The 21,448-nt window shown below is 35.6% G+C and overlaps 1 long non-coding RNA gene across 1 annotated transcript in view; it reads left to right on the top strand.

Annotated features, from left to right (window-relative positions):
- Positions 1-3,482: 3,482 nt before the first annotated feature.
- LOC105377331 (uncharacterized) overlaps positions 3,483-21,448 on the top strand; it is a 35,231-nt gene continuing 17,265 nt past the window's right edge. Inside the window, exon 1 of the long non-coding RNA XR_939000.3 lies at positions 3,483-3,542. This is a non-coding gene — a long non-coding RNA (uncharacterized LOC105377331). The remainder of the gene's footprint in view (positions 3,543-21,448) is intronic.

Genomic DNA, 21,448 nt, shown 5'->3' with positions numbered 1-21,448 from the left:
TCCAAAGGTGTGTGTTCCTAATTTGGTGTTTCTCCTCTTATGTCTGAATCAAGAAGATTTTTGTTTTTAAATTCAATGACAGCCCCTAGCATTTAGTTTTCTCATTTGTTAATTAAAATAACAATACCTATGTCTCATGATTGTTTTGAGAAATGAATGAGGCATTAACCTATTAAGAATCTTAGTTCAGTTTCTGGAGTGGTAGAGACAAATTTTTATGTTATTTTATTATAAAAAGTACATCAGAGTAGTACACAAGAGTAAAAGCAGTACACAAGTTCACAGAATTATTACTAGACAACAGTTTTTAAAATGATTTTGCTATAAAAAGAAATAACTAATTTAGATTCTTACAGTGTATATACAGTGTGTGTATTTATATATATATATGTACTTCCTGAGGGAATATCATACATACTAATATTTATATGGTGTTTACAAAACTCTTCTGTAAATATTCTTTCATTAGACCCTCAATAAGAAACTTGGAAGGCAAGTATTGCAAGTCATAAGGAACCTCGTTTTGAAAGAGCTAAAAGGCAGTGGCCAGACTCTTAGGTTACATGCCTTATCCTGTTACTAACCATAAGCAGTGCCCTGATTTGTCAGCAGGTGTTGGTACTGAGGGTTCAACTCTCAGCTGCTGGAGAGGCAGAGAAAAGGAAAGGAAAGGTAACCTCATTGCTACTTCCAGAGTATGGTACTGGCAACATGATCAGTTGGTGAGGGAAGATAGATTTTTACCTTCACATTCCCTTAGTCTTTTACAGTTCACTGCCTAAGCCTGCTTGAAACTCTACATTTACTTAATCCTTCCAGCAGAGAACAATCACTGTGAGTTTTCCCACTGACATACTTTTATTTGCTGAGATTTCATTCTTTGCAGGTTGAGAATATAAAAATTTAAAGGGACAGACTTATAACTACTATAAATCACCTCCTTCATCCCACAGGAAAACAAAGTACCCTACCTCAAGAATTGTTTAAAAGTATTTCCAGAAAATGTATTCTACATAATATATAAATACTTTGAAAAAATGAAAATAAAACCAAGGAAAGAGCTAACCTTGCATTTTCACAGATCAAAATGTTCATTCAAGTAGTATTTGTTGAAAAATGGCAGTGTCTATGGCGTGAATGATGATATTCACCATACTCTGTGAAAATCTGATAAAAGCGTTTGGGATATGACTAAAATTTTTGTTTGACCGAATTTTGAGTTTCTATGATAATGTCAGTAAATCCCAATTAATCTCTAGTCTAACATTTTGTAAATATTTCCATTTAATACTGAATGCTTACGTTTCTGAAAATGAATTATTTGTACATTCGCTAACAGAGAACAAGTTGTAGGTGAATGAAATAGGACTAATGTTTTTATATTTATTCTCTAACGTTCTATGAATTAATGATTCTATGATACCTGATCATGTGGTTAAAATTCACAAATGTTTTATGTCTGTGATATTTCAATTTAGATACAAAGAAATTTAGGAATGATAATAATATTGCAATGTTCTCCACAAGCTAACACAAGAGAACTTTGGACAATTGGGTTTTCCTTGGTCCAGGCTGAATTTTAAAATGTCATGACAAGAATATGGCAAAGGTGAAGGATCCTTTCAGATGTAAGTAAGCTCCTAAATCAGTTGATTTTGAGTTCATCAAAAAGTAAGGAGATTATCCTGGGTGGGCTTGACTTAATCAGATGAAAGCCTTCAATTAGACCCTCCTAAAGACCTCCAGAAAATAAGCTACCCTCTTGTGACAGTGCCTGCAGGAGCCTCTGGGAGGCAAGTAGGGTCCCTTACTGATGACAGCATGGAAATGGGGACCTCAGTCCTACAACTGCAAGGAGCTGAATTCTACCAACAGCCATGTGAGCCTGAAAGAGAACTCTGAACCTAGGAAAGGAATGCAGCCTGAAGATACCTTGTTGGTCATTGAATGAGTCCAGGCTAAGCCATGCCTGGAATCCTGACCCTCAGAAACTGTAAAATAGTAAATGTATGTTGTTTTAGTCCATTTGAAAAAAAGAGCTATTAATGAGTTGTGACTCCTACATTAGCTATACCCACATAATTTCTTGGGTTTAATTACCACTTACTACACAGCCACTGTGTTTCAGGCAATATTCTAGATACTGAAGACTACGTGTTTTAGTGTAAATGAAACCATTAAATAACTCCGAGTGTTTCCTCTCTGATTCAGAATAACATAGTGCAAGTGTAGTAGTCTCTCCCTAATCTCTGCTACTTCACCCCAGCTTCACCCCTAACACATCCAAGCTCTCGGTCCCAGCATGATGAATGCCAGCCTCCAGAGCAGTCTTTTCCTCACTCAGTTAGGTAGAGTATATTTTTATAAAGGGGCAAAGCATAAGTAGCTTGTGTCCTGGGAATCACAACACAGACTTTTTACTGTCTCCTTATGTTGTTATTATTACTATTATTTTTGAGACTGAGTCTCGCTCTATCGCCCAGGCTGGAGTGCAGTGGCGCAATCTTGGCTCACTGCAACCTCTGCCTCCTGGGTTCAAGTGATTCTTGTGTCTTAGCCTCCCGAGTAGCTTGGATTATAGGCACCTGCTACCACACCCAGCGAATTTTTGTATTTTTAGTAGAGACGGGGTTTCGCCCTGTTGGCCAGGCTGGGCTCGAACTCCTGACCTCAGGTGATCCACCAGCCTCAGCCTTCCAAAGTGCTGGGATTACAGGCGTGAGCCACTGCACATGGCCTTTTTATGTTTATTTTTCCAACTTCTTAAAGTTCTACGTGTTACAAATTGCCTACTGGAGTTAGGATACTTATTTTTACTCTGATGTAATTTCCTTCTATGACTTAAAAGACTTACTTTCTTGTTCTAATTGCTCCAGACTTCCCTCTAAAGTCCAGTTTGTCTCCTTAGCAAGTCTTACTGGGTGAATTGCACTGAACCCCCTTGCCAGTGCTGGGACCTCTTTATTAAACCTGCCCTATTGCCTCTTCTGCTACCTCATGGTTGAAGGTTACTAATAAAGGCAAATCATTAGTAACAGCAAATATAATTCATTCATTCTTCAGTCTTTCATCCCCTGTCATTAGAAATTGCTCTTTACTTCCCTAAAAGACTGTGACAAGATGTTATCTTGGTAACATCAGACATCTTTGGTTCCAAAATTAATTTTGAGACAAGCTTGGGATATTTTAGTCCAGTCATTTCTGTGATAAAATGATATTTTTGAGATTTTAATCTAAGTTGTTTTCATTTTCTTCCTGTATTATCCGTTTCTTCCCTCTGCTCTCATCCACACAAAACATGGAGACCCCTGCATTTCTTTGCCTTAAAAGGCATTTGAAACAGACTAGAAAACAAAACCAAAAAAATGATATTTACTTCCCTTTTTGTCAATTTTGCCCCCGGAAAACATAAGTCTATATTAGAATCCCTAAGCAGAGTAATATGAAGTGAAAAGATTGTGTCTAAACTAGGAAGACATTTTCCAGGGCTGAGGTAAGGAGAGCTGAGAAGGCAAAGACTGCGAATCTTGGGAACAGAGCACGTGAGTCTTGCTTACCTGCAGTGCCACCAGGAAATTAGCATGTTCCCAGTGAGGAATGTGGGCAAAGGCTTTTAGCAAATGGGACCAAACATAGCCTCACAAACTGCCTGTGCTCCAAGAGCAGCATAGAGACACAGCATAGACATTCCTCTTTCTAGAGCTTTTGGCCAGCCCTTTCACCTGCCCGAATGCTCTCCCTTCTCTCAGCCTATCCATATCACACTCCTCTCAAGCCCCTCCTAATCCACTTAGCTTCTGTCTTAACCTCTGCCCTTGTGTATGATCACTCCACTGAACACCTCCCCAATTTTATTGGTGTCACTCATTCAGCACTTAATCCTACTGCCTGCTAGCCTGTCATCTAATGCTGTGTATTATTTTTCACTCATTTATCAATTTAAATTAAAATGCAAATTTTTTGAGTTAAAAACAAGGCTTTAAATTCTTACTTTATTACAGTGGTACCCACAAAAATTAATAGAAATAATGTACAATGAAAGAATACTAAAGGTGTTCTAAGAAGAATCATGCTATTCTAGCTCCTAAATCAATCTTGAAATACCCATAAAATAGAATTTTATGCTCAAACTACAATCACATTAGAGTTTTACACATAAAAATGCAATATTATAGAATCACTCTTATCTAGAGGTACAAGGTGAAGCACAAGGGATTTTTAGGGTAGTGAACATATTCTGTATGACAGTGTAATGGCAGATTCATGGCATTATGTATTTGTGAGAACCCATAGAACTATACAACACAGAGTGAACCTTAATGGAAACTACGGACTTTAGTTAACAATAATGTATCAGTAGTAATTCATCAAATGTATCAAGTGTACTACACTCATGCAGGATGTTAATAATAGGGAAACTGTGTACGTGTAGGTAGGGAGGAGGGTATATGGGAACTGTATTTTCTGTAAACTTAAAACTTCTCTTAAAAAAGCCTATTATACAAAATACAACATTATAAAATCACTCCTATCTAGAAGCTTGTTGTTCCAAGAATATATAAAATCTCCCTTAAATAATTTTTTAAAAACAAAAAATTTGAATATTTTATATACTGATTTCTTTCATTTCTGATGGCCCTTTTGCTCTCTATATTGAAATGGATATTTTATTACAACAGCAAGATAGCAGCAGTTGTTCACTCATGGCTAGCCATATGTGTACTATAGCAAGATCATCATATCTTATTTCTACTTAAAAATCATGCCTATTACCTGCTAATTGCCATGTATTGATTTACTTAAGCATCCATGGCTGCTGTATGAGAAAGATAACACTTGGCTCTAGGGGGTCTGAAAATTCTTTACACTGTCAGTGACCTTAACTGAAAGGGTAATTAATCTGAACCTCCGGATGGCATTAAGAGACTTAGACCTTTCATTCTTTGTGAAAAGCCTCATCTTTAGCGATGTGAGCACACAGTTCTATTTACTGAGAAAACATTTTATATTAACTTATCTCCTTCACTTTTATGATCAGCTGCCAGAATTGCAGGTTTTCTATATCCAAAGAAAAGAAAAGGAGACAAAAGACTTAGTATATTGTAAGGAATTTGTTTTTTTTCTTTGGGGTTGTATCTGCTCATAAACAGAGTTAGCCTTATTGGCAGTGGCCAAGCCACTCTATTTTCTTGTCTAGTTTTTTCATATGCACAATGAAATAATAAAACCTGCTAGTTTAGGATATTAAAATAAAATGATAAAAAATATATTTAAAAAAAAAATTTTTTTTTTTTTGAGATGGAGTCTCACTCTGTCACCCAGGCTGGAGTGCAGTGGCATGATCTTAGCTCACTGCAATCTCCACCTGCTGGGTTCAAGCAATTCTCCTGCCTCAGCCTCCCGAGTAGCTGGGACTACAGGCATGCACTACCACGCCCAGGTAATTTTTTGTATTTTTAGTAGAGACGGGGTTTCACCATGCTGGCCAGGCTGGTCTCGAACTCCTGACCTCCTGACCCACCTGCCTTGGCCTCCCAAAGTGTTGGGATTACAGGCGTGAGCCACCGCGCCCAGCCGACATTTAAAACTTATATAAGCCTAGCATTTCTTTGTTTTTCTTTGTTTTTGCTTTTAAAGAATCACTCGAGAGTTAAAATATGTCTAGATTATCTTTCAAACTTTTTCACTTCTTTATTGTTTGGTTGTCACCTGGTTTCTCAAAACATGCAAGACAAGTCAGGCATAGTGACAAAAACATGAAAATAAAAGCCAATGCAATGAAACATCAAATAACATACCTACATTTTTTAAAAGGTGGACATATTTCCTGATACAAGTGTTCTTCAATGTGTTCTAGTAATTGTATTTTGATGTCCAATAGGAAAATGCAAAAATGATTTTTCTTTTGATAAACATTTTTCTATGTGCCTTTGGTTTGACTGATACTTGTAACTTGCCAAATGACATCTTAAAAAAAAAAACAGAACTACTGATTACAAATGATTCTAACAAACCAGACAAAGAAAGTATAGGGGACATTGTAATGTGTTACCTAGCAGGAAAATTCTTGACTTCCAGATTCTCTCAGGCAATCTATTTTAGTCCAACTCAAGTGCATTTCTAGTCATTTTCTTTACTGATCAGCACGTCGCCAAACTAATTGAGGATTCCATGGCTTTAAGAATCCTGAAATAAGCCATCTTCTTTCTACCCACGTATTTTTTTTTTTTTTTTGCAGAGCTGACACTTCTGCTTCTTTAGCAAGTGCCACTTCTGGAACTACGTTCGTGTCTCTTCCTCTTTTTATTTCCCTCAGAGGTTTCACGAGGATACATTTTTGCATGTAGATATGCATGCATTATTTTTCACTTCAGTAAAAGTCAATAGCTACCAATGGATAGTTGCGGCTAATTTACTGTGGAATAGCAAAACATATTAGGCAGCTGTAGGAACACACACTTATGTTGAATTGCCTGACTGAACAGTGAGCAACAAATAGAGAATAGGGTTATGGGGAATGGGATATGAAGCAGTAGGCTACAACCAGTCACAGTAGTGTTTAAATTAAGCATATTGTTAGCAGGGTAAAACTAAAGGTCCCTTTGAATCTGGCATACACGAACTAATGACAGCAGAGCATCAGTCAGCCATGCCTTCTCCATCTGCAGTTCATATGGGAGAGGAGAGTGGATGGAGAAAGGGAGGATGGCGGAGGCCAGCAGGAGACAACCACATACCAGAAGAGTAAAGTTACAATACACGGAGCAGTGCTCAAAGAAGAGCTCTGCTACCAGTCTCCATCTTTTAGGTTTCAATGTGCATAGCCTTGGCTTAGCTTCCTCTACAGAGATTGCTAGTGTTTACAAGAAAGGTAAATGCCAGCGTGGAGAAGCACAAGTAGTATCAGCAGAGTCCTGCTTCTCCCAATACCTAGAGTTTTCATATCACCCAAAGATAGTGATTACAAAACTTATTTTCTCCATGCTATATTAAAGAGTTATAATAATTAATACTAATAGGATTATAAAGTGAGTTTGAAAAATCACAAATTCACTGAATTCAGTTCTGCATTGCTCTGTACATGCATCCTAGTTAGAAATATATATGAATCAAAATTGTATATAATTTTTTTTCCTAATTACTATCTACCCCAGGTAGGTAAGATTAGAGGATGTTAAGAGAAAAAGTTTTAGAACAAATGAATAGGTGACTTAGGTCAGGCTTAAGTGACCAAAATGTGTTAGCAAGCAACTTCTACCAAATGGTTTCTTTGTACCATAGCATAGCTATCAAGACACTTACAAATTGTAGAAGTCCTTAAAAACTGTGAAAAATCAGATGAAAGAGGTGTAATGTGGCCTTTGCCCCAGTGGACTTACCATACACAGGGTGTGATCTGCAGAATAAGAGAGAACATCTAATTTGTAGAAATAGACCTATATGAACTAGCATATAGTGGTTGGTGTGTGAAACAGAACCTCAGTTCATTAATTTGCAGGCATCAAGCTGACCAGAATACTTAAAATGGCCAACCACAACAGTGAACTTGGTATCAGAACAAGTTGGTTTATCCTAAGCGACTTTTAGCTAAGGTAGCTTGAGTTGTTTTCACATACAAGACCGATACACTACCCAAAGAAACCTTCCCACTTGAGGCAGCTTAGCAGAGATTCAGTCCACCCGGGGCAGCGAGTGGATGCTCTACCAACTTGTGTTTCTGAGTCTTTCCTTTCCTTATGCTTCCATGGCTCAGCACCCGTACTCTCTTCCCACAATTTTTCTTCAAATAGGATAAACCAATTACATCTCTATGTAGTAGATTAGACACACAAACAGTATTGTTTCTAAAATGATTCTCAGATCTCTTGTTTCCTTAACATTAACTTACACTTTTATGAACAATATCTTGATTTTCTAATGCAGATGGCTGATGTAGTCGTTTAATTTGGATTTGATAAATTGAACTCCCTTAGGGCAATCTTATTTATAATTATGTTGTGAGTATCTCACCATAACCCCTATTATCCTAACAGTAATACCAATTAGCAGAAATTTTTCTTATTTGCAAATGCCAACATAAATGTAGAATAAATAAACATGTAATATGATGTTAAAAATTGTATATCAACCCCTGGAAGGCAGATTGGTAGGAGGCAGGTTGGTAGAAAGTTGTGGGAGGTGTCGGTATCTGATAGAGATTTTTATCCTACCTTCAGCATGTTTTAACTCTATGAACTTTGACAGGTTATTTAAACTCTCTCTATTTCTTCATTTCAAAAATTAGAGGTAGTGAAAATAATAATTGCTTCATAGAGTTGTTATGAGGATTAAATGAAGCTAATGTTTCTTGACACAAAGTAAATACTGCATCGATGTTAGTTCTTACTAATTATAAACAAAATGGTTATAACTCAAGCTGATAAATGTCTCTAAGCATTAAAAAAAGTTTTCGTTTTCAAAAACCTAAAAAAAGATTCTTATAGCTCTAAGTACCAATTCTGGTGCCTTATTTCTATTCCTTGTTCTTGACAAAATTGTCTTAGTCTCAAGATCTTTTTCAAATATATTATAATCATTGTAATAAAGACACAGGATCCCAAATTATTTCATTCATTTCTCAAAAGAAAAAGGCTTTTATCTGGAAGTAACAGATATTTTGGTAGATTACAATTGTCTGGCATTCTCTAAACTTCTAGATCTAAATTACAGCTTTATTTTCCTGACTATTTGAACAAATCGGGATTATTGCAAGGGGAGGATGGCAGAGAAGGTGCACATTACCAACATCACTTCCAATACTTGGCATAGAAAAATCAATTCTTGTCCTTCCAACAATAAATAAGAAAACTATCTACTTAGTACTTCTTTCTCTGGCAATGTGCCTGCTGAGCTCATATCTGCTAGATTACAAGAATCCTGTGAGTCAACCCTAAGGTGGAATGAATTGGTAAAAGGCAGACAAAGAGAACTTTGTGTTCCTCTTCTCCCAGTTCTAGATTCTAAATTACTTCCCAGGAGGAAGAGTTATACCTATAATTGGGAGAATGTAAGTCATATTACATATTATGTAATATGATTCACTTCCCCTCATCCTAAAACTCTAAAAGATGGTAAGTTTCTAGCTACTTGGGTCTCAGCGATCTACAGTTTCTGTGATTTATTTCAAGAAGATTGCATTGAAACCACCCTATCAAGGTTAGGTTTAGATTCTAAATGAATAAACAAATGACAGGTGGACAATTTTTAGACCCATACTGTATTAGTTCATTTTCACCCTGCTGATAAAGACGTACCGGAGACTGGGCAATTTACAAAAGAAAGAGGCTTAGTGGACTTACAGTTCCACATGGCTGGGGAGGCTTCACAATCATGGCGGAAGGCAAGGAGGAGAAAGTTACATCTTAGGTGGATGGCAGCAGGCTAAGAGAGAGAGCTTGTGCAGGGGAACTCCTCTTTATAAAACAATCAGGTCGCCGGGCATGGTGGCTCACACCTGTAATCCTAGCATTTTGGGAGGCCGAGGCAAGTGGATCACCTGAGGTCAGGAGTCCGAGACCAGCCTGACCAACATGGAGAAACCCCGACTCTACTAAAAATACAAAATTAGCCAGGCGTGGTGCCACGCCAGAAATAACTGCAAAAAAAAGCAAAAATTGACAAATGGAATCTAATTAAACTAAAGAACTTCTGCACAGCAGAAGAAACTATTAATTGAGTGAACAGACAACCTACAGAATGGGAGAAAATTTTTGCAAACTATACATCTGACAAAGGTCTAATATCCAGCATCTATACAGAACTTAAACAAATTTACAAGAAAAAAACAACTCCCTTAAAAAGTGGGCAAAGGACATGAACCGACACTTTTCAAAAGAAGACATACATGCAGCCAACAATCATATGAAAAAAGCTCAATATCACTGATAATTAGAGAAATGCAAATCAAAACCTCAGTAAGATACTGTCTAACACGAGTGACAATGGCCATTATGAAGAAGTCAAAAAATAACAGATGCTGACAAGGTTGTAGAGAAAAAAGAACATTATATATTGTTGGTGGGAGTGTAAATTAGTCCAGCCATTGTGGAAGACAGTGTGGCAATTCCTCAAAGACCAATGAAATACCATTGGAACCAACAATCACATCACTCGTTATGTACCCAAAGGAATATAAATATTTCTACTATAAAGACACATCCATGTGTATGTTCATTGCAGCACTATTCAGAATAACAAAGACATGGAATCAACCCAAATGCTCATCAATGTAGACTAGATAAAGAAAATGTGGCACATATACACTGTGGAGTACTATGAAGCCATAAAAAAGAATGAGATCATGTCCTTTGCAGGGACATGGATGGAACTTGAGACCATTATCCTTAGCAAACTAACATAGGAACAGAAAACCAAATGCTGCATGTTTTCACTTATAAGTGGAAGCTAAATGATGAGAACACAAGGACACAGAGAGGGGAACAACACACACTAGGGTATTTCAGAGGGTGAGGGGTGGGCAAAGGGAGAGGATCAGGAAAAATAACTAATGGGTCCTAGGCTTAATACCTGGGTAATGAAATAATCTGTACAAAAAATCCCCATGACAAAAGTTTACCTGTGTAACAAACCTGCACTTGTACCCCTGAATTTAGAAGTTAAAAAAAGTTTGTGGCATGAATTAAGGAAACAATTAACAATGAGATGTCCTTATTAATAAACAAATTAGGAACTCCTATATATATTTTTTTCCTCCCTTAAACAGCTATTCCTTGGATTCCTGAGAGTCTACTATTAATGGGATATTCTTTTATGTTATGTATTATCTTTCTCCATTTATTTCTTAAAATTCACATTCACCTTTAAATGTAGTTTAACCAATCCCTTTACATCTTATTGTGAATGTATTAACCAGAACTTTATCTCTGGTACTGGATATTCTAGGCATCAGAGTCTAAGAAAATGATAAAAGAATGCTTGGAAAAAATGGCTGGAGAAAGCAAAAACAAAGGGGCCAAACAAAAGGCATAGGATTCTTTTTTTTTTTTTAGGGGCCAGAGACCTATTTTATAGGTTTGCTGTTAAAAGTCTTTACATTTTCCCATGTCACTGTCTTTTTTTTATTATTATTATACTTTAAGTTTTAGGGTACATGTGCACAATGTGCAGGTTAGTTACATATGTATACATGTGCCTTGCTGGTGTGCTGCACCCATTAACTCATCATTTAGCATTACGTATATCTCCTAATGCTATCCAGGCATAGGATTCTTGCAAAGAACCAACTAATATAATACTGTATATTTATGGGTTTCTACTCTCCAAATCAAAGCAGAAATTCTCAAACAACCAATTATTTTCTTTTGACTCAACATAATCATTCTAGATTTAATGATATTCCAATTACTTTTCCTGGGTATAATTATTCCTAATAAACATACCACTGTCATGTCAGAGAACATATGTTTTCAGAAATATTGTTCAATTTTGATTGTTGGTGAATTTCAGCCACTATGCCTTCCACCAAGCCTTGTCAAGCCTGCGGTTCTCTTCTCTTTGGCAGTAATGTTTGGAATGGGGTCCCTGCCCTGATGATTCCAAGACTTCTGATATCTGGCCCTAAAAATCCTTATTATAAGGTATACTAGCATTTAATATAACATAAGCTCTGTGAGACTAGAGCATTTCTTTTGTATACAGTCTATATAATATAGTGCCATATAAATAATCATTAATGAATACATGCTGAATAATTGGTTACATCAATAAATGAATAGATTTACTCTGAGAGCGTTTCTTAGAACCAGCTCCCATAGATTTGGATATTGATCTAGGATTATCATACACAGTGAATGAATAATGGGAACACTAATGGTGAGAGTCTGGAAGCTTCCAATTGATGCAGTAATTTCCCATTCAGTCCAACTGATATTCTGCCAAATGAATCAAAAGGCTTTAGAACATAAGCTTGATTCTTAGCTGAGTAAGGTTACATTTGGTGGCTCTAGAATGCCTTCACAGCATTCATAGTTCAAAGAACTTTGTAGTTCATAAACCAGAAATGATCTTGGCTCTAACTTTATGGACAAGGAGACTTGGTCCTTGGTTTCTCCAGGGTTCCAATTATAGTAAAAGTATCAAAGTAGCAGAGAATAATTAAAACCCAGAGCTCCTTATTCCTTATCCAGAGCTCTTTGCTTCCCTTATGACTGAGATACCATCTGATCTAAATGGATAGATTAAACATAAATTTCATTTTTCTTGGTTAGTGTTCTTGTTCACTGATATAGAAAATTGAGCAATTGATTTTTATTAAGGTAAAGTTTATGACAGCTTTCCCAATGATGACCACAGCTGAAGTTGTGGACACTGATAATCTTTTACTGCTTTTAATAACTCTATAAGGAAGGGAAAACAAAACTCACATTTACTGTGAGAAAAAGAAGAAAAGATATCTTAGAAATTGAAGAAACTGGTGGTTACTTCAAATGCCTTCTCTTGTATCGAAACCTAAGAAAAAGTTCTAAAACATTTGTTCAGGCTTTTAAGTTATCTTCAAAATTCCCCAATCCATTTGGTAAACAGTGAAAATAACTGTCTTAGAGCTATAAAATCAGGTAATTGCATTACTTGAATCAACTAGCTTTAAAACAAACAAACAAACAAACAGAAAAACCTTGTAAAGAAACTTTCTCTTTACTCAATATTTTTACTGACCCTCCCTGTTGGTCCCATGACACAGCCTCTTTCCCAGTTTCTTCCTTAACTGTTGACCCTATATATGAAATAAACTGGACTTCCTATTGAACATTGATGTACATAAGCTCAATTCTTTAAACACCTCTGTGGCCTGTGGGCTAATACACTCTTTTTTCACCAGTGTTCACCAATTGTTTTCACAGGATAGAATATGCACTCTGCCTAGGCTAGCTGAAGATTTATCCAAAGCTAAGCTTTCAGAAAAGTCTTTTGCAATCATACCCTATGAGCCTACAGCCCTTGCTGACAAATGCATTTCCTCTTAATGAGACATTTACCTAAACCCTAATAACCTAATAACCCTAATAACCTTAATGAGACATTTACCTCTTAATGAGACATTTATCTAAACCCTAAGCATTAGTAAAGAGTGAAACTGTGCTAGATTATGGGGCACAGATTATGTTCCTTCCTCATCCTACCCATACCCTGAAGGATCCCTAATATCGCAAGGACTTCCAGTCCATTAGCCTTAAGTGATCTATGGTATCACAGGTGTAAATTGCCTGACTTTTAAAAAATATAATTAATCAGCTGTAGGAGATCTTAACAGCTGGGACACAGAACATATGGCTAATAGAAAAGCTAATACAAAAGCTACATATTCTTAGAGCTTATTTGTGTCAATGTAGGAAAAATCCTATTCTTTACCCCCAGAAACTTGACAGTATTAGTTATTTATATTCTGTCCCATAAAGAAACAGGTGCAGACACAGGGCTAGAACTTTCCTTCAATTCCAAGGGTATAGATTTATAGTATTACATGTTTCTAAATCCCTTCATATGGAAAAGCTTCTTACTCTGTGTACGTGTATACCTCAGTAATTGATGATATGAACAATTATATCAAAAAGGCTTTTAAGTTACTTTTTTGTATAAGACCATACTCTAAATTCTATGAAGCAGCAAAAATATTTCAATGCTCCATGTGCATTATTCATATTTACTGTGAAAATGTGGTGAAGGGAGATACTAGATTATTTTGAATCTTATATTGATATTCAAATTGAGATATTCTAAAGAAGTGTGAGTTATAAAAATAAGCTTGGATGTTACAAAAACTAAGACTGTCTTTGAAGAGGAGAATGTTAACGTGGTTCATTTAAGAGACTTTACATTTAATAGCCTCATTTATTCCTTATTTCCATTGTGATGGGAGTCACATGCTGGCTTTGTGATTCACACCTGGCTAGATGTGACGGTGGGGGAGGTTTGCTTGCAGAAGTGCCACTGTATTTCTACAAACATGTGACAGATCCCCTCAAGACAAAAGATAGAAATTTTATTTTTTTTTCAAATTTGGAAAGCGTCTCCTATGAACACCACGTCTTAGGCATTTATTTAAGCAAAATTTACACACTACTGAGAGAGCCTTCATTATGTTTGTGCTATTACCTCTTTTATCTTTTTAATAATAAATATTTATATTGTGCTTTTGTTATTCGTCCTGTTGCTCCCTTCCTCCCACCTTCATTCTTTTTCTTTTTTTTCTTTGAGACAGGGTCTTGCTCTGTCGCCCAGCCTGGAGTGCAGTGGCATGATCTCGGCTCACTGCAACCTCCACCTCCCAGGCTCAAACAATCCTCCCACCTCAGCTACCCGAGTAGCTTGGACGACAGGTGCACGTCACCACACCTGGATAATTTTTTTGTATTTTTGGTAGAGATGGGATTTTGTCATGCTGCCCAGGCTGCTCTGGAACTCCTGAGCTCAAGCGATCTGCCATCCTCAGCCTCCCAGAGTTCTGGGATTACAGCCATGAACCACTGCACCTGGCCCCCAGTTGCATTCTAATCAGTAAATATTTACTGGCTTTCAGAAGTTATTTACTATTTCTTAAGGATTCTCTTTAAGGTTCACAGAAATATGGAGAATGTGTAAATATTAGTTGTTCCAACGAATCCTAATAAAAGTTATAAAACTAGCTACTTCAATTTCACTGCAATAGACTGATTTCCACACTTCTAATTTCAAGAAAATATATAGGTCTATTATTTTGTTAATACATAACCAACATTATTGATGATTTTTCCATAATTCTTTAATAAAAATGTTATTCATTATATGCATAATTTGTTACTAGTTCCCTCTTGCACAAAATCAATGTCTATGTATCTTTAACACATGTAGGGATCTTGGCTCTCTTAGAAGAGCTATGTAATTAAGGTCCTCAGTGGTCGTGGATTTCATTCTAATGGAGGACATTTCTCCTTTAGTTAATATTATTTCCTGTTACAGAATCTGGCCCATTAACTTTCTCACTGCACGTGGTTTAGAACTTTTGGATGTTCAGAACATTTAAAATGATTCGGGAAAAGGAGAGTGGTGGAGGGAGAGAAATAGCAAATTATAATATATCCAAGTATTTAAGTCTTGGCTTTAATACTAAATAGCAAACTACTCGACCATTCTTAACCTTGATTACTTCATTCCTAAACAGTGGTAATAATATTCTTATATTTTCTAGGGAAATTATTGTATAAAATAAGTGAGATAATATATGTAAAGATATTTTGAAAATTGTTAAAGGATGTACAAATATAAAGTGGCCTCATCATTATATACAGATTTCCAAATAAAATAAAGTATATACAGTTTGACTAAATAATCATGTCTTACAGAAAAGTCAGGGCCTAAGCAAAGTTATGAAATTATTGAAGTGTGATTAGATATATTAATCAGGTTGGATTAGGTTATGCTGCATAATAAACTCAAAAACACAGTGGTGACTTAGAACGAAAGGATTTAATTTTTCTTTCAAGGTTCATGTCCTTTGAGAATTTTCTGGGAGACTCAAAGCAAAGGCTGAATGACCACCTTCTGGAACATTATATTACCACATCAGAGGGAAAATGGACAACAGAGGGCCTTTATGCTCTGGTACAAAAGTGGCACACTCTATTTCCATTCACATTCCTTGGCCAGAACTAGTCATACGGTTCACCAACAATTAGGGCCATAGGAAATGCAATCATATAAGGTGTGCAGAAAGTGGAGAGCAGGAGCACACCTCTAATGACTACCCCATTAAGATTTAAGAAGATTCCTAACTTACAGAAACTTCCATATTCTCCTTTTAGGAGCTCTCCCCTTCAGATTTGACTTGCATATCATTTTTGTAGAAATTTAAATATTTGTTGATAGAATGCAGAATTGTAACAATAAACACATACCCACAAACACACATGCATGCACAATGATAGAAGATTAAGATATTTATTTCCCGAAAAGACATCTCTGTTTTAACAATTGACTCTTAAGAAAAATCTTCAGAAATCCAATGGATGAATTGTTGTTCTCTACTTTTTGGCATTTGGGGATTTAGTTTGCCTATTCCTGGGTTATTTTTAAGCAAATGAGACTACCTGTCCAGTTCAGATAACAACAGAGAGAGGGTTTGTCCTCTTTTATGAAACAGAAAGCTGGAATAGGTGTGTTTCATTCTTATCATTGAACTAGCACCACGTCATGGATATGTAAAGTGTTCTGAGGGTTCCTTCTCTCAAAGTGGAAGCTCAGAGATCTATATCTCAGGGAGTCAATGCAAATACTGACTTTGAATAATAAAATGAGAAGGTAAAAAGAAACAAATGTATTATTGTCATTTCCCTGACATTTTTCCAGCCATTGTTTAACCAGATGGTTCATTTGAAGTGTTGTTTGTGTTTTTCTGTTTTAAAATAAACTCTCCCTTTTCCCTTTGTTGTTTTCTTTAAAAATATTGTGTTCATTTGATAGTCTTTTTTCAAAAATGCAAGCATAAAATAATAATGTGTTCTACACATAATAACCTTCTTTCATAGTTTTTAAAATATTGCAAATTTTCAAAGGCCAGCATAAAGCAAACCAAACCAAACAAAGATAATATTTGCTGAAAATTGCTTGAAAAAAAGAATGACTATTTTTTTTCTCCCAGGAAAAGCATACAGTACGGCAAGCGACTCCCTACTTCCTTGAAAGCAGTCATGGTTGACTGGTACTCTGAAGGACAGTGACCTCAGTGTCCTCTAATAGCCTAATATATAGTAATTTAATTTTTCAAGCCCTTAATTCAAGTGAAGGCAAAAGTTAAAAAAAAAATTAAACAACAGTATGTGATATGTAACAATTAAATTTTGTGTGTGCGTATGTGTGACAAATATTATGGCTGAATGAACATATATGAGACACACAGAAAATTTTAGCAAGGTCTCTCTGTTCCTAAACAGCAAAATTAACAAGTATCCACTTCTATATTCTTTTTCAAGTTCCAGCTTCACTGATGATTGCTAGTTTGGCTAGTTGTATTTAACAAAACATATGTAAAAATACTAAGTATTTAAAAATTAGTAAAATTGCCTTTCTAATCAAAATACATCTAATTTTGATGATCTCCAACTTTCAAACCTCTTAAACACTCTCTTAAATTTAACAAAGTATCAAAATATTTGTTTAAAAATCATTTTTATAGTAAATTACTTAAAATTTAATTTTATAAGCGCAGGTTTATAGATTCCTAAGAGGCATACACAAACTTCAGGAGTTTTTTATACTTTTGTTTGATTTTTCATAGATAATCTAAAACTAATCTGTGATCAAGTTGAATTATTTGTTGCTTGTAAAGAGAAAACCTTTCATTTCAGTGTGATTCGCAATTGAAAGGCATTTTAATTGAATATGGTTTTAGTGTCTTAGGTTATTCAATAAATTGAGAACTAATATCAATAAAATAAAATAGTGTAGATGGGTGGAAATGAACAGGGGAGGATTTATGTAAATAATCCATATGTGTTAAATGAAGTCATATGTCATAAGGATGAGCTATAAGGGGGAAGGACTTTCAACTCTTAAGAGAGCAAAGTAAAAGAGAAGCGATTCAGCACAGGGAACAAAAATTTTTGTTCATGTTCAATTTAGAAGAAATGCATTATAGCACACAGTATTCAGTTCAGGTTGAGATAAGATATATTATATTACATAGGTACAATACTGTGCTTATCCATTGTATTAAATACAAATGCAAGATTTTTGTTGTTGTTAAAGTGTTATTTTTTTGTTAGCATTTGAAGGTTACTATAATTCTCTTGAACAATTAAGAATTAGACAGAGAAAAGTTTAGAAGCTAGAAATTTTAAAAATCACTTTTACTACTATTAAAGACAATATTATGCAATGTGGTTTACGTCTACGGACAAGGGGCTTTCTGACGCCTCATGCCAGAAATGGACAAGCTACCCTTCAGTCATTGACCCTCTGGTTCAGCACAGACCTCCCGTTACCCCAGCAGCCATCTCCCCTGTGGCAGGCAGGGGTGAAGCCTGAGGGATGTTTCCTTGGGAATGTAAAAGGGTAATGGAAGTGGGTGGCCAAAAGGCCCAGTTCCTCATTCCATACTCTTATCAGATTAAATCATTCTTTCTCTCAGGAGGAAGAGTGAATGTGAGTATGTGGAAAGGCTAGGAGGGCTACTGAGTGTAGCTTCCCTCTTATGAAAAAAGAAAAAACAAAAGGATTTTTAAAAAGAGAGCTATAGGAAAGAGACATTAACTGCTATCATTCCCAGCCTTAACTTTAAAAATTAGGATCCATTTTGCAGGTGTTTCATTACATTAGATTGATTAGACCATCAAAATAATGGTTTGTAGTTAAAAGGTGTCAATTAACTATAAAATAAAAATCACAGTCAATAATGATCAAAATCACAAAAATCAAAATAACAAAAAGTGGGACATAGTTTAAGCAAATATGTCTTTTCATTATTAAACTCAACAGTAGAAATACTATATAACAAAATAATGTTACTTAGCGTATTAAATTTATTATTACATTTAACTTTATAGTAGTTATAGTTTTATTTATATTTAACTTGTTAATTATTTTCACTTTAAAATATATGAGATCTACATGCAAAAGGAATTTTAATTAGTGTTTTTGTTTACATGTAATTGACGTGAAAATAAAAATAACCTGAATAAAGCTGGAATTCATAAAAATGCTCTTTCCTTAAAAGAAAATTTGAAAAATTATTTTAAAAACACTAGAATGTTCAAATTAAGCACCACACCGTTTATTTAATTATAGACATTATCCATATGTATAGATACCTATTAGAGTTTCAGCCATAATTTTGAAAGACAGGATCCTGAATGTTTAAATCCTAAAAGATCAAAATCCCTAGAGTCTAAAATTATGAAAATTTTAATTCTAAAAGATCAAAATCACAAAAGTGTAATTCTGCAAAAAAGAATAAAAAATTCTTTAAAGATATTTATTTACATTTTTTAAGGATTTATTTGAGAAACACAAAAACACCACAGAACACTTCTTAGACCACTTTATATAGTAAAATGGGCAATAATGGCATACATATTTTTGCAAGCATAACCACCCAGGTATACTAATGACAGTCTCATGAGTATAACATTTATGAGCAGATGAACTGTATTCATATAGAAATAGGTCAAACAGTGAAATGTATAAGCACATATTACTATGGTTGGTAATTGTGTACACCCAGCTTTATAACCACAGTCATCTAAAACACCATCATGGACAACTTAAGCCTTTGGTTTGTTTTATTTGAGACAAAGTCTCACTCAGACTGCAGTGCGGTAGTACAGTCAGATCAGGGTTCACTGCAGCCTCGACCTCCTGAGCTCAGACAATCCTTCTGCCTCAGCCTCCAGAGTAGATGGGAATACAGACATGTGCCACCACACCAGGCTATATTTTTAATTATTTGTAGAGATAGGGGTCTCACTTGGTTGGCCAGGCTGGTCTCCTGGGCCTAAGTGATCCTCCCGCTTTGGCCTCCCAGAGTGTTGGGATTACAAGCATGAGCTACTACGCCCAGCCCAACTTAAATCTTTTTACCAGAGGGACCAAAACCCACAATGGTTCAGCACAGCATGCACAGTCTCCCAAAGAGCTGAGATCCTGAGAAGTTTTATATTTCACAAATGCAAATGTACAAAAAGACATCTTTTCCTGTATTGAGGAAGTTTCAACGTTTTTATGTACACATACAATACTCTCACATGAAGTCAATGTTGTGATAAAGCACTGTTGTGGCATGAAATTTGCAAAAAAAAATGCAAATGACTTCTGGCAAATGCAGCATTATTTCGCTAAAAGTTCCTGGGATTTCATTAGCTGGAAGGAAAGCCAATTTAGACAAATGGTGCATTTTTAAACTAAAGTGTTCATTCTTGCCCTATCACATGGCCAATCCACTCATCTGAGTTTGCCACCAAATGCAAATAAAGACAATAACAAAGTATTAGTTCCACCTAATATGATGCAACTTTGGTTGATGAGACTCCTGCCTAAAACCTAAAATGCGCTAATCCCTTTCCCAGAATTCAGCTTTCAGGATTTCAACTTTCAGAATTTTAATCTTTTGGAATTGTGAGTTATGGAATTTTAGACTTTAAGGATTTTGATCTTCAGGGATTTCAACATTCAGGATTATGACGTTCAGGATTGTGTCTTTCAGGATTACGACTAGCACAGATCTATTCCTATCTGGACATATTGACTTGAGAGACAGCCAGAAAGAGAGAAATGTAGATAGACAAAATGAATTAAAATTTGCATTATAGCAATAAATATTTGCTGACATGATCAGGGATTATAATTAATAAAATTAGGGTACAGTGGTGATTTATTTGTAAAATGAAATAAATGCTATCATTGACTTATAAATTGTCTTCCATCTTTTGCTAAATTTCTCCCAAGGAAAATCTGGAGGGTGAACAAGACAAGGTGCAGATCATCTTAAGGAACTTAATGTTTTCACCACAGCCTTCAGATGAAGCCAGGTGATTCAATGACCTCATTGTGGCTGCTTTCATTTTATAGTGTGAAAGCTCACCTTCAGGTTAAAAAAAACAACAAAAAATACAACACTAAAAAGTGTATGCAAGACAATCAATCATGTAGCCAGAAATTGGGATTTTATTATACATTTAAAAGAAAAATCCTGAAGGATTTTAATCAAGAAAGTAAGATGACCTGGCTGTTGTATGAAGAACAGATGGTACAAGATAAGAAGTGGAAAAGGAAAGGCCAGTTAGGAGTCCTAACAGAAGAGACGTTCAGGGTTAGAATCAGAACTAGGGTGAAGTTCAGGAAGGATCTAGACAGAGAGGAGAGAGTTGTAGTTAATGGTGGTATGAAGAATGGCCATAAGGTTGGGTGAAGTGGCAAGACTGTGACAAAGTATTCCAGGAATTGGTCCTACCCACTCCACCAATCATTTCCCTGACATTTTTCTCACTTTTAACTTTTTCCTTCATAGCATTGCAACAATTGTAATGATTTATTTGCACTGTAAATTGTTCAGTGTCCAGCTATCCTATTTAACTCTACATACCATAAGGGTGAGTACTGTGTCTGTTTTGAATTGTATCCTCAGCTTGTAGTTCGGTGCCTACTACAAAGTTGGCTTTCATTAGATCTTTATTAAAATAATAAATGAATGAATGCACCTTTCACCCAAGCTGTATGGAGAAAATATGTAGTAGGTAGTGTTAAGCCTTATATAGGCTGCCTTGCGTCAATCGCAAAATTTTAAGAAATGATAACAAAACATGGTGTTAAGTTAGTTGTTATTTATATATTCCAGGCAATATTTAGTTTAGCCCCAATAAGTTTCTTACATCTTTACCAGAAATTGTACCTATGACCTAAATTATAGCTTTTTTTTTTTTTT

This window comes from Homo sapiens, chromosome 4, assembly GCF_000001405.40.
Source record: "Homo sapiens chromosome 4, GRCh38.p14 Primary Assembly".
NCBI classification, from domain to species: domain Eukaryota; kingdom Metazoa; phylum Chordata; class Mammalia; order Primates; family Hominidae; genus Homo; species Homo sapiens.
Note: the sequence above shows the minus strand (reverse complement) of the source record. Positions and strands in the feature narration are given on the sequence as shown.